This window comes from Homo sapiens, chromosome 19, assembly GCF_000001405.40.
Source record: "Homo sapiens chromosome 19, GRCh38.p14 Primary Assembly".
In the NCBI taxonomy this organism is placed as follows: Eukaryota; Metazoa; Chordata; class Mammalia; order Primates; family Hominidae; genus Homo; species Homo sapiens.
This window is the reverse complement of record NC_000019.10, coordinates 14252037-14263757: the sequence shown is the minus strand read 5'-3', so window position 1 is coordinate 14263757 and position 11721 is coordinate 14252037. Positions and strand designations below refer to the sequence as shown.

At 49.6% G+C, this 11721-nt stretch overlaps 2 annotated features.

Annotated features, from left to right (window-relative positions):
- Nucleotides 1115-1315: a silencer, noted in NCBI's record as "peak3381 fragment used in MPRA reporter construct". NCBI's record gives its function as "represses an SCP1 promoter by STARR-seq MPRAs in K562 erythroleukemia cells {active_cell/tissue: K562}" and the evidence as "EXISTENCE:reporter gene assay evidence [ECO:0000049][PMID:32103011]".
- Nucleotides 3364-3564: a silencer, noted in NCBI's record as "peak3380 fragment used in MPRA reporter construct". NCBI's record gives its function as "represses an SCP1 promoter by STARR-seq MPRAs in K562 erythroleukemia cells {active_cell/tissue: K562}" and the evidence as "EXISTENCE:reporter gene assay evidence [ECO:0000049][PMID:32103011]".

Here is an 11721-nt window from a genome sequence, read left to right as displayed (position 1 = left end):
TGACTGTTATAGAAAATAGTGTCTGTCAAGGTGTTTAGCCTTTGTGCATGGAACTTAGTAAGCACTCAATGAAACATTCACTTGATTTTTTTTTTTTTTCTGTAAGAGATAAGGTGTCTATCATTCTGTGGCCCAGGCTGGAGTGCAGTGGCACGGTCATAGCTCACTGCAGCCTTGGACTCCTGGGCTCAAGCCATCTTCCCACCTCAGTCTCCCAAAGTGCTGGGATTATAGGCATGCACCAGTCTACCTGGTCTCACTTACATTTATTATTTATTTATTTATTTTTTGAGACGGAGTCTCGATCTTGTTGCCCAGGCTGGAGTGCAATGGCTCAATATCGGCTCACTGCAACCTCCGCCTCCTGGGTTCAAGCAATTCTCCTGCCTCAGCCTCCTAAGTAGCTGGGATTACAGGCACGCGCCACCATGCCTAGCTAATTTTTGTACTTTTAGTAGAGACGGGTTTCATTATGTTGGCCAGGCTGGTCTTGAACTCCTGACCTCAGGTGATCCACCTGCCTCAGGCTCCCAGAGTGCTGGGATTACAGGCGTGAGCCACCGCACCCGGCCTTAAATTTTTTTTTTCAACAGGGTCTCCCTCTCTTGCCCAGGCTGGAGTGCAGTGGCATGATCTCAGCTTACTGCAACCTCCAACTCCCGGGTTCAAGTGATTCTCATGCCCCAGTTTGCCAAGTAGCTGGGATTACAGGCGTGCACCACCTTGCCCAGCTACTTTTTGTATTTTAAGTAGAGATGAGGTTTCACCATGTTGGCGAGGCTGGTCTCAAACTCTTGACCTCCAGTGATCCACCCACCTTGGCCTCCCAAAGTGCTGGGATTACATGTGTGAGTCACCATTCCTGGCCCAGACATAAGATCTTAAAAACCAATGGCAGGTATGAAACCCCGTCTCTATTAAAAATACAAAAAAATTAGCCAGGCATAGTGGCGGGTGCCTGTAGTCCCAGCTACTCGGAGGCTGAGGCAGGAGAACTGTGTGAACTCGGGGGGCGGAGCTTGCAGTGAGCCGAGATCGTGCCACTGCGCTCCAGCCTGGGCGACAGAACGAGACTCCGTCTCAAAAAAAAAAAAACAAAACAAAAAAACACGGCAGGTTCTAGGACTGTGGAACAAGACCAAAACTTGGCCTGGGTCACATAGAAGAGGGGCTGAAATCCTGTTATCTATAGAAAGCCTGAAGAAGAATTTGAACATCTGTTATATAACATTCCTGTAGCCGGGGTGGTGGCTTGTGCCTGTAATCCCAGATACTTGAGGGGCTGAGGAGGAGGATCACTTGATACCAGGAGTTCGAGACCAGCCTGGGCAACAAAGCGAGACCCCGTCTCTAAAACAAACCTTTTAAAAAATTAGCCAGGCATGGCTGGACGCGGTGGCTCATGCCTGTAATCCCAGCACTTTGGGAGGCCGAGGCAGGCAGATCACAAGGTCAGGAGATTGAGACCATCCTGGCTAACACGGTGAAACCCTGTCTCTACTAAAAAATACAAAAAAATTAGCCGGGCGTAGTGGCGGGCGCCTGTAGTCCCAGCTACTTGGGAGGCTGAGGCAGGAGAATGGCGTGAACCTAGGAGGCGGAGCTTGCAGTGAGCTGAGATTGCGCCAGTGCACTCCAGCCTGGGTGACAGAGCGAGACGCCATCTCAAAAAAAAAAAAAAATTAGACAGTCATGGCATACTACTACTAGGGAGGCTGACGGGGAGGATCGTCTGAGCCCAAGAGTTTGGGGCTGCAGTTAGCTATAACACCACTGCACTCCAGCCTGGTGACATAGTAGGAACCGACATTTATCAACCTCAGGGCATTTACACCCAGCAATCTGACAAAGTTGGCACTATGCTTACACCATTTATAAATGAGGAAACTGAAGCTCAGAGAGGTTGAGACACTTGCCCAAGCTCACAGAGCATATCGTGGTCAGGCAGGCATTCAGGCCCGGCTCTGTCTGATCCCAGAGCCCTGTCCTGAGAAAGACAAGAGGGAGGCTGGCTGCAGCAGCTCAGGCTTGTAATCCCAGCACTTTGGGAGGCTGAGGCAGGCAGATCACCTGAGGTCAGGAGTTCAAGACCAGTCTGGCCAGCATAGTGAAACCCGTCTCTACAAAAAATGCAAAAAATAGCCAGGTGTGGTGGCACGCCCTTGTAATCTCAGCTACTCAGGAGGCTGAGGCAGGAGAATCCCTTGAACCCGGAAGATGGAGGCTGCAGTGAGCCGAGATCACACCACTGCATCCCAGCCTGGGCAACAGAGCAAGACCCCATCTCAAAAAAAAAAAGAAGGGGGGGGCCAGGCGCGGTGGCTCACGCCTGTAATCCCAGCACTTTGGGAGGCCGAGGCAGGCGGATCACGAGGTCAGGAGACAGAGACCATCCTGGCTAACATGGTGAAACCCCATCTCTACTAAAAGTACAAAAAAAATTAGCCAGGCGTGGTGGCGGGTGCCTGTAGTCCCAGCTACTAGGGAGACTGAGGCAGGAAAATGGTGTCAACCCAGGAGGCGGAGCTTGCAATGAACCGCGATGGCACCATTGCACTCCGGCCTGGGCGACAGTGGGAGACTCTGTCTCAAAAAAAACAAAAAACAAACAAAAAAAATGGCCAGGCGCGGTGGCTCACGCCTGTAATCTTAGCACTTTGGGAGGCTGAGGCGGGCAGACCACGAGGTCAGGAGATCGAGACCATCCTGACCAATATGGTGAAACTCCATCTCTATTAAAAATACAAAAATTAGCTGTGGTGGCAGTCGCCTGTAGTCCCAGCTACTTGGGAGGCGGAGGTAGGAGAATTGCTTGAATCCGGGAGGCAGAAGTTGTGGTGAGCCAAGATCACGCCACTGCACTCCAGCCTGGGTGACAGACAGGGAGACTCCGTCTTAGAAACAACAAGAACAACAACAAAAAAACAAAAAACAAAAAAAGAAGGGTGGGCATGGTGGCACATGTAATCCCAGCACTTTGGGAGCCCGAGGCGGGTGGATCACCTGAGGTCAGGCGTTCGAGACCAGCCTGGCCAACATGGTGAAACCCCGTCTCTACTAAAAATGGAAAAAGTATCCAGGCATGGTGGCAGGCGCCTGTAATCCCAGCTACTCGGGAGGCTGAGGCAGGAGAATCACTTGAACCTGGGGGGCGGAGGTTGCGGTGAGCGGAGATCACGCCACTACACTCCAGCCTGGGCAACAGAGCAAGACACCATCTCAAAAAAAAAAAAAAGACAAAAAGGATAGACACCTAAAGATCAGCAGTGGTTTCCTCAGGGCTGGAAATGTGGAGATCTTTATAGTCTTCTGGTTTACACATAGCGTATTTCCTGCCTATAATAACAAAAAAGAAGAAAAAGTTATTTTTAGATGTTCCCAAAATCTAACGCATTTGCTATCAGGAAAAGCTCCTGGAGAAGAATGCTTTTTGGTTACGATCCCCATGGGAAGCATCCTGCAATCACAGTGGGTGACTGAGGTCTGTCATAAAGATAAGAGAATTTGCAGGAAAAGCTTCAAAGGCCGGCACAGTGGCTCACTCCTATAATCTCAGCACTCTGGGAGGCCGAGGCGGGCGGATCACTCCTTGAGTCCAGGAGTTCAAGACCAGCCTGGATGTGGCAATACCCCGTCTCTAGAAACAAATTAAAAAATTAGCTGGGTGTGGTGACCTGCACCTGTACTCCCAGCTACTCGGGAGGCTGAGGTGGGAGGATCGCCTGAGCCCAGGAGGTTGAGGCTGCAGTGAGCCATGATTTTGCTGCTGCACTCCAGCCTGGGTGACAGGGTGAGACTCTGTGTCAATAACAAACTAACAAACAAACAATAACTAACTAAATACATAAAAATTTTAAAAGGCTTCAATCACAACCCTAGCACCCTGGGACACTGGGCAGATGTTGCCATCCCCAGAAACCATGGCTCTGGGTCAGGTGAGTGACCTGTTCTCAGGACAGGCTTGAAGCTGAATTCACTCCCGTCCTGCCATCCATCTCCTCTCAGTTGTCTGACCCCAGATGGAAGGCAGAGGACCAGGGAACCCCAGATCTGTCCAAAGAACCAGAGCCAAGTAGAGGCGCGTGAAAAGTGGATCTAGAAAGCCAAGTGGGAACTATCTTATCCTACCCAACCCAGAACACAAAAACAGCCCATCGGCCGGGCGCGGTGGCTCACACCCATAATCTCAGCACTTTGGGAGGCCAAGGTGGGCAGATCCTGAGGTCAAGAAATTGAGACCATCCTGGCCAACATGGTGAAACCCGTCTCTACTTAAAAAATACAAAAATTAGCTGGGTGTGGTGGCGCACACCTGTAGTTCCAGCTACTTGGGAGGCTGAGGCAGGAGAATCACTTGAACCCAGGAGGCGGAGGTTGCAGTTAGCTAAGATCACGCCACTGCACTCCAGCCTGGTGACAGAGCAAGACTCTGTCTCAACAACAACAACAACAACAACAACAAAAAACCAAACCAGCCCATCAGCCGGATGAGATGGCTCACACCCGTAATTCCAGCACTCTGGGAAGCCAAGGCCGGCGGATCACCTGAGGTCAGGAGTTTGAGACCAGCCTGGCCAACATGATGAAACTCCGTCTCTACCAAAAATACAAAAATTAGCCGGGTATGGCGGCAGGCGCCTATAATCCCAGCTACTCGGGAGGCTGAGGCAGGAGAATCATTTAAACCCGAGAGGCAGAGGTTGCAGTGGGCTGAGCTCATGCCATTGCACTCCAGCCTGGGTGACAAGAGTGAAACTCCGTCTCAAAAAACACCCAAAAACCAAAAACCAGCCTGTCCTTCCACCAGTGGGAACACTTCTTGGAGAAATATTTGTTCTCCAGTACAATACAGTGCAGACAAAAAACTAGGAAAGAACAAAGAGTTGGCAACAATGTACGGTTCATCAATCAAAGAAAATGGTTTAAATGAATTATGCCCCAGACTATGAAAAACAAGTCCAAAAAAAGAGAAAGAGGTGGAAAAATCACAACATCTATTGTGATTGTAGCAGGTTGAATTGTGGCCCCAAAGCAGATATGTATGGGCCGGGCCCGGTGGCTCACGCCTGTAATCCCAGCACTTTGGGAGCCTGAGGCAGGAGGATCCTTTGAGTCCAGGAGTTCAAGACCAGCCTGGGCAATATAGCAATACCCCATCTCTACAAAAAAATTTTAAAAATTAGCCAGGTGTGGTGATACATGCCTGTAGTCCCAGCTACTTGGGAGGCTGAGGCAGGAGGATCACCTGAGCCCGGGAGGTCAAGGCTGCAGTGAGACATGATTGTGCCACTGCACTCTAGCCTAGGCAACAGGGTAAGAGCCTGAAAAGAAAGAAGAAAAGAGAAGAAGAGCAGGAGGAGGAGCAGGGGGAAGGGAAAGGAAGAAAGAAGAAAGAAGAAGAACAAAGGGAAGGGGAGGGGGAGGAGAAGAAGAAGGGGAAGGAAGAAAGAAGATGAAAGGGAAGGGGAGGGAGGCGGGGGAGGAGGAGAAGGGAAAGGGGAAGGAAAAAAGAAGAAAGAAGAAGAAAGGGGGCCGGGCGCGGTGGCTCACGCCTGTAATCCCAGCACTTTGGGAGGCCGAGGCAGGCGGATCACGAGGTCAGGAGATCGAGACCATCCTGGCTAACATGATGAAACCTCATCTCTACTAAAAAATACAAAAAATTAGCCAGGCATGGTGGCGGGCGCCTGTATTCCCAGCTATTGTGGAGGCTGAGGCAGGAGAATGGCGTGAACCCGGGAGGCAGAGCTTGCAGTGAACCAAGATTGTGCCACTGCACTCCAGCCTGGGCGACAGAGCGAGACTCCGTCTCAAAAAAAAAAAAAAAAAAAAAAGGAAGGGAAGGGGAGGAGGAGGAGGAAAGAAGAAGAAAGAAGAAATGTGTAACCTTTGGTATCTGTGAATGTGGCCTTATTTGGAAATAGGGTCTTTGCAGATGGAATTAAGTTAAAGATCTCACTATCAGAACATCTTGGATTTTAGGGTAGGCCCTAAATCCAATGACTGATATCCTTAGAAACAAGAGGGCCAGGTGCAGTGGTTCACACCTGTAATCCCAGCGATTTGGAAGTCTGAGGCAGGAGGATTACTAAGCCCAAGAGTTGGTACATGCTACCCACCCTCCGGCTAATATTTTAGAAGAGCTGGGAGGATCCTTGAGCCCAGGAGTTTGAGGCTGTAGTGAGCTATGACTGCAGCTATGATTGCACCACTGCACTCCAGCCTGCGCAATAAATTGAGACCCTGTCTCTCTTTTTTTTTTTTTTTTTGAGATGGAGTCTTGCTGTTGCCCAGGCTAGAGCGCAGTGGTGCAATCTTGGCTCACCACAACCTCTGCCTCCCAGGTTCAAGCGATTCTCCTGTCTCAGCCTCCAGAGTAGCTGGGACTACAGGTGCATGCCACAACGCCCAGCTAATTTTTGTATTTTTAGTAGAGACAGGGTTTCACCATATTGGTCAGGCTGGTCTCGAACTCCTGATCTCAGGTGATCCACCTGCCTTGGCCTCCCAAAGTGCTGGGATTACAGGCGTGAGCCACTGCGCCTGGTGAGACCCTGTCTCTTAAAAAAAAAAAAAAAAAAAACTGTTAAAAACCACCAGACAGAGTGGCTCTTGCCTACAATTCCAGCTACTCTAGAGGCTGAGGCAGGATTTGAAGCTCAAAGTTCAAGACCAGTCTGGGCAACATAAGGAGACGCCCATCTCTACAAAAAAAAAAAATTTTTTTTTTGAGACGGAGTTTCACTCTTGTTGCCCAGGCAGGAGTGCAGTGGCACAATCTCAACTCACTGCAACCTCCGCCTCCCGGGTTCAAGCGATTCTCCTGCTTCAGCCTCCCAAGTAGCTGGGATTACAGGCGCCCACCACCCCTGCCAACTAATTTTTGTATTTTTAGTAGAGACAGGGTTTCACCATGTTAGCCAGGCTGGTCTCAAACTCCTGACCTCAGGTGATCCACCTGCCTCAGCCTCCCAAAGTGCTGGGATTACAAGCGTGAGCCACCACGTCTGCCACAAGACCCCATTTCTACAAAAAATTTAAAAATCAGGCAGATGAGGCACCATGTGCCTGTAGTCTCAGGCACTGGGGAGGCTGGGGAGGATCACTTGTGCCCAGGAGTTTGAGGCTGCAGTGAGCTATGATGGCACCACCGCACTCCAGCCTGGGCAGCAGAGCGAGCAAGCAAGCAAGCAAGCAGGGAAGAAAGGAAGAAAGGAAGAGGAGGGGAGGGGAGGCGAGGGGAGGCGAGGGAAGGGAGAAAGAGAGAGGGAGGGAGGGAGAGAGAGAGGAAGTGAGGAAGGGAGGGAAGAAGGAAGGAAGGGAGTGAGGGAGGGAGGGAGGGAGGGAAGAAAGAGAGAGAGAGAGAGGGAGAAAGACAGGCCAGGTGAAAGCCATCTTCTATGACTCAACCTTCAAAACCTCATTGACTCAATTCCTTCATACTCCATTGGTTGGAGCAGTCACAAGTCCCACCCAGGTTTAGGAGGTGGGAACACAGGTCCTGTGATATGGTTTGGATTTGTATCCCCCCCACCCAAATCTTATGTTGAATTGTAATCCCTGGTGTTGGAGGAAGGGCCTGGTGGGAGGTGATTGGATCATGGGGTCAGAGGCCTCCCTTGCTGTGCTTGTGATAGTGAGTGAGTTCTCACAAGATCTGGTTGTTTAAAAGTGTTCACCAATATGACAAACAGATCTCCAGGCCAGGCGCAGTGGCTCACACCTGTAATCCCAACACTTTGGGAGGCCAAGGCAGGTGGATCATTTGAGGTCAGGAGTTCGAGACCACCCTGACCAACACAGTGAAACCCCATCTTTACTAAAAATACAAAAAAACTAGCTGGCCACAGTGGCGCAGGCCTATAATCCTGGCTACTCAGGAGGCTGAGGCAGGAGAATGGCGTGAACCCAGGAGGCGGAGCTTGCAGTGAGCCGAGATCATGCCACTGCACTCCAGCCTGGGCGACAGAGCGAGACTTCGTCTTAAAAAAAAAAAAGAGAGAGAGAGAGCCATGATCAGGAAGCCGTCATGATGACTTGTGGAGACGCTGGCCCTGAAGTAGCTGCAACCCTCTTAATACACAGGAAGAAAGGGCTGGGAGACAAGCACAGGCAGCCCCTCTGTGAACCCTCAGGTAGGAGCCACCAGCCATTTTACTGCTGAGTTTAGCATTTGGGGTTGTTCAAGAGTCCAGGGCTTCTGGGAGACTAGAGAATGCCTTCATCTCCAGGGCACTAAAACCTCAGTTACCTAATCTGTGAAATGGGTATGATCATAGCAATCCCACAAAACTGCTGGTAGGGTTACATGTAATTATTTCTTTTTCTTTCTTCTTCTTCTTCTTCTTCTTCTTCTTTCTTCTTTCTTCTTCTTTTCTTTTTTTAAGAGATGGGTTCTCCCTATGTATGTTGCCCAGGCTGGACTTGAACTCCTAGGCTCAAGTGATCCTCCCACCTTGGCCTTCCAAAGTGCTGGGATCACAGTAAATTTTTTCTTGTAGAAACAGGGTCTCCCTGCTGGGCACGGTGGTTCACGCCTGTAATTCCAGCACTTTGGGAGGCTGAGGCGGGTGGATCACCTGAGGTCAGGAGTTTGAGACCAGCCTGGCTGACATGGTGAAACCCCGTCTCTACTAAAAATACAAAAAATTGTCCAGGCGTGGTGGCTCACGCCTGTAATCCCAGCACTTTGGGAGGCCGAGGTGGGCGGATCACGAGGTCAGGAGATGGAGACCATCCTGGCTAACACGGTGAAACCCCATCTCTACTAAAAATACAAAAATTAGCCAGGCGTGATGGCGGGCGCCTGTAGTCCCAGCTACTGGGGAGGCTGAGCCAGGAGAATGGCATGAACCTGGGAGACAGAGCTTGCAGTGAGCCGAGATCGCGCCACTGCACTCCAACCTGGGCAACAGAGCGAGACTCTGTCTCAAACAAACAAAACAAAACAAAACAAAAAACAACAAAAAATTAGCTGGGCGTGGTGGTGGACACCTGGAGAAGGAGGAAAATCGCTTGAATCCGGGAAACAGAGGTTGCAGTGAGCCGAGATCACACCATTGCACTCCAGCCTGGGTAACAAGAGCAAAACTCCGTCTCAAAAAAATAATAATAAAATAACAATCGATTGGTTGAGAGATCACCATATGCCATATGCCAGAAGTTGCTTTAAGCATTTTGCATGTGTTAATCCATTTTACACCTCACAATATCGCTACCAAGTAGAAACAATTATCTCGATTTTGTAAAAGGTGAAACAGGAAAAAACCACTAGAGCAAAGCTGCCAGACCCTCAACCTTCTTTTCCTTCTGACTCCAAATGACAGGCAGCATTCTTTCCATCTCTCACCTCCTCATGCCTCCTGTGGAAAAAATGAATGGACAGATGAGAAAAGTTGGAGCTGGAGAAAGACCGTGTTCCTCGTGTTCGGTGGGACCTGGGAAGGCTGCTAAAACCCAGGGAGCAGGAGTTCTCCTCCCTCCATCCTTATCCACAGTCTGGGTCCCATCCAGACCCTCCTCTCCAAACCGGGGGTTTGGGACAAAGCAGGTGAGGGAGGCATTTCATTCCAGAGCAGAAGAAGGGGGTTCCTCCCCCATCCCACTCCCGTTTCATTTTTAAGGGGGAAAAGCAGCTCCCCATACGGTGAGGCAATGAGGCGGACCAGCAGGTTCCCGGGGATCTCCGCAGCCCCGTTGCCATAACAACCGAACTCACTCGCAGTCGCTGATAGGGGAGTCAGCTGGGACCACAGCTTGGGCAGGAAAGGGATGAGGGAGTAGGAAAGAAACTTCAAGATCAACCACTGGCCCTCACGCCGAGCTGCGCACACCCCAAGGCCAAGGGAGGCTGGCAACCCTTGTCGTCCTTGGGAAATGGGGGAGGGCACTGGTACCCCTTGGACCTCCCTCCTGAATCTGGGCAGCTTTAAACATTTTTTTTTTCCAACTTTGGAAGACAGTTGTACAACCTCGAAGGAGAGGAGGTGTCAGGATTCACAAAGCGTATGGATCACACATGGCTCTAGGGGACATTCTCTTTGCTCTGTTTTATTTTTATTGTATATTTTATTCTTTTATTTTGAGATAGGGTCTTGCTCTATTGCCCAGGCTGGAGTCCAGTGGTGTGATCACACCTTACTGCAGCCTCAAATTACTGGACTGAGGTGATCCTCCTGCCTCAGCCATGCGAGTAGCTGGGACTACAGACATGCACCACCACACCTGGCTAATTTTTAAAATATATATGTTTTTGTAGAGATAGGGTCCTGCTACATTGCCCAGGCTGGTCTCAAACTCCTGGCTTCAAGTGATCCTCTTGCTTTGGCCTCCCAAAGTGTTGGGATTATAGGCATGAGCCACTGCATCCAGCATCATTTCTTTTCATTATTATTATGATTATTATTTTGAGATGGAGTCTCGCTCTGTCACCCAGGCTGTAGTGGAGTGGTGTGACCTTGGCTCACTGCAACCTCCACCTCCCAGGTTCAAGTGATTCTCCTGCCTCAGCCTCCTGAGGAGCTGCGATTACAGGTAACCTCCACAATGCCTGGCTAACTTTTTTTTCTTTTTGAGACGGAGTCTTCCTCTGTCGCCCAGGCTGGAGTGCAATGGCGCGATCTCAGCTTACGGCAATCTCTGCTTCCCGGGTTCAAGCAATTCTTCTGCCTCAGCCTCCCGAGTAGCTGGGACTACAGGCAGGCGCCTACCACCACACCTGACTAATTTTTGTATTTTTAGTAGAGACGGAGTTTCACCATATTGGCTGGTCTCAAACTCCTGACCTTATAATCCGCCCACCTCGGCCTCCAAAATGCTGGGATTACAGGCGTAAGCCACTATCCCTGGCCTAACCTGGCTAATTTTTATATTTTTAGTAGAGACAGGGCTTCACCATGTTGGCAAGGCAAGTCTCGAACTCATGACCTCAAGTGATCTGCTCACCTTGGCCTCCCAAAGTGCTGGGATTACAGCCACTGCACCCAGCCTAATCTTTTTTTTTTTTTTTTTTTTAAATGAAGACAGGGTCTCACTACATTACCCAGCTGGTCTCGAGCTCCTGGCCTCAAGCGATCCTCTCATCTCAGCCTCCTGAGTAGCTTGGATTACAGGCACAAGCCATCATGACTGGCTTCCTTTTTTTTTTTTTTTTTTTAATGAATATGGTAAAGTGCACAAATCATAAATTTCAGCGTGGTGAATTTCTACACGTGTATACCTGTGTATCCACCATGCAGACCAGAAGAACATAATTGTCCCTCCAGGAAATTCCCAAATGCTCTTTCTCAGTCAGTATCCTCCAATTTGACATTTTCATCATAGATTAGTTTTGCCTACCCCTGAACTTTGTGTAAGTGGAAATACATGGTTTGTCGTCTTGCTTTTACGCAACATTGTATCTGTGAGAATCTATTGTCATGTCTGCTTTCCTGTTCTTTTTCTTGGTTGTATAATAATCCATTGTGGAGATGTATCACAATGTATTTATCTTACTGCTGATAGATATTTGAGTTGTTTGCAGTGAATGGTTATTGTAGATAAAGCAGCTATGAACATCCTTGTACATGTCTTTTGATGAACATAAGTTTACCTCTTGTGGGGATGTGGACAGGGTCTCACTCAGTAACTCAGGCTGGATCGCAGGAACCTGGCTCACTGCAGCCTCAACCGCCCAGGCTCAAGTGATCCTCCCACCTCAGCCTCTCGAATAGCTGGGACCAC